Below are 1,555 nucleotides of genomic sequence, written 5' to 3' on the forward strand. Positions count from 1 at the left end.
TCCTTGAAAGGAAGGACTCAGTCCTGGCAGGATTCATCCCCTGCTAACTGAAGAGCTCTTGGGCCCTGAATAATCAGCAGTGATACACAGGTAGTATACAACGGCCCTTGGATAAGACTCTTGACACTTGTTGGCTTCAGGTGAGACTCAGCACATTCCCAGCTTTGGTGGCTACAGGAAGAGACTCCTTCTACTTGAGAAAAGTAGAGGGAAAACTAAAGGAGACTTTATTTTAAACTTTAGGTACCAGCACCGTCACAGACATAGCATTAGAGCACCAAGTGGGCTCTTAGGGTCCCTGATTCTAAACCTTGACTCTTGGATGGCATTTCTGAACCTGCCCTGGGACAGAGGAAAGCCCACTACCCTGAAGGGTGAGTCCCAGGCTAGGAAGCATTCACCACAAACTGACTGAAGAGCCCCTGGGCCGTAAGGGAACATCAGTGGTAATCTAGCAGTACTACTCATGGGCCTGTGGTGGCAGTGGCCATGAGATGAGGCTCCTCTGCCTTTGAAAAGGGGAGGAAAGGACTGCATCTTGTGGTTTAAGTGCCAGCTCAGCCACACTACATTAGAACACCAGGTGGACTTCTAAGGTCTTTGATTCTAGTCCCTGGCTCCTGGACAGCACCTCTTGACCCATCTGGGGCCTGGGGACACTTGCCACCCTGGAAAGAATGACACAGGCCTGGCTGGCTTTGCCATCTGCTGATTGTAGAGCCCCAGGGCCATGAGCGAACCTAGACTATAACCAGGGAGTGGTTACAGTATTGGATGTAACCACTCACAGGCCTTGGCTGAGACCCAGTACTGTGCTGGCTTCAGCTCTGATCCAGCACAGTCGTAGTGGTGGTAGCCACAGGGGTACTTATATCACTCCACAGCTCCAGGCAGCTCAGTAGAGAGAGAGAGAAACTCCATTCGTTTGGGAGAAAGTAAGGGGAGAGAACAAGCGTTTCGGTCTGGTAATCCAGAGAATTCTTGTGGATCTTGTCCAAGACCACCAAAGTAGTATCTATGAGTCTGCAAGAACCATAGCACTACTGAGCTTGGGGTGCCCCCTAATGCCGATGAAGCTTAAATCACAACACTCAAGTGCTTTCAAATACTTAGAAAGCCTTCCCAAGAAGGACAAGTACAAACAAGTCCAGATTGGCCAGGGTGTGGTGGCTCACGCCTGTAATCCCAGCACTTTGGGAGGTCCAGGCGGGCAGATCACAAGGTCAGGAGATCGAGACCATCTTGGCTAACACACTGAAACCCTGTCTCTACTAAAAATACAAAAAATTAGCCTGGCGTGGTGGAGGGTACCTGTAGTCTCAGCTACTACTTGCGAGGCTGAGGCAGCAGAATGGCGTGAACCTGGGAGGCGGAGCTTGCAGTGAGCCAGGATCACGCCACTGCACTCCAGCCTGGGTGACAGAGCAAGACTCCGTCTCAAAAAAAGAAAAAACAAGTCCAGATTGCACTGACTGCAATGAATACATAACTCTTCAATGCCAAGACACAGATGCACATCCACAAGTATCAAGACCATCCAGGAAAACATGACCTC

The 1,555-nt window shown here is 50.2% G+C and overlaps 1 annotated feature.

The window, feature by feature from the left end:
* Positions 868 to 1,162: a silencer, noted in NCBI's record as "tiled region #9565; HepG2 Repressive non-DNase unmatched - State 13:Ctcf, and K562 Repressive non-DNase unmatched - State 13:Ctcf". NCBI's record gives its function as "represses a minimal TATA promoter and a strong SV40 promoter by Sharpr-MPRA in HepG2 and K562 cells {active_cell/tissue: HepG2 | K562}" and the evidence as "EXISTENCE:reporter gene assay evidence [ECO:0000049][PMID:27701403]".

This window comes from Homo sapiens, chromosome 4, assembly GCF_000001405.40.
Source record: "Homo sapiens chromosome 4, GRCh38.p14 Primary Assembly".
Lineage (NCBI taxonomy): Eukaryota > Metazoa > Chordata > Mammalia > Primates > Hominidae > Homo > Homo sapiens.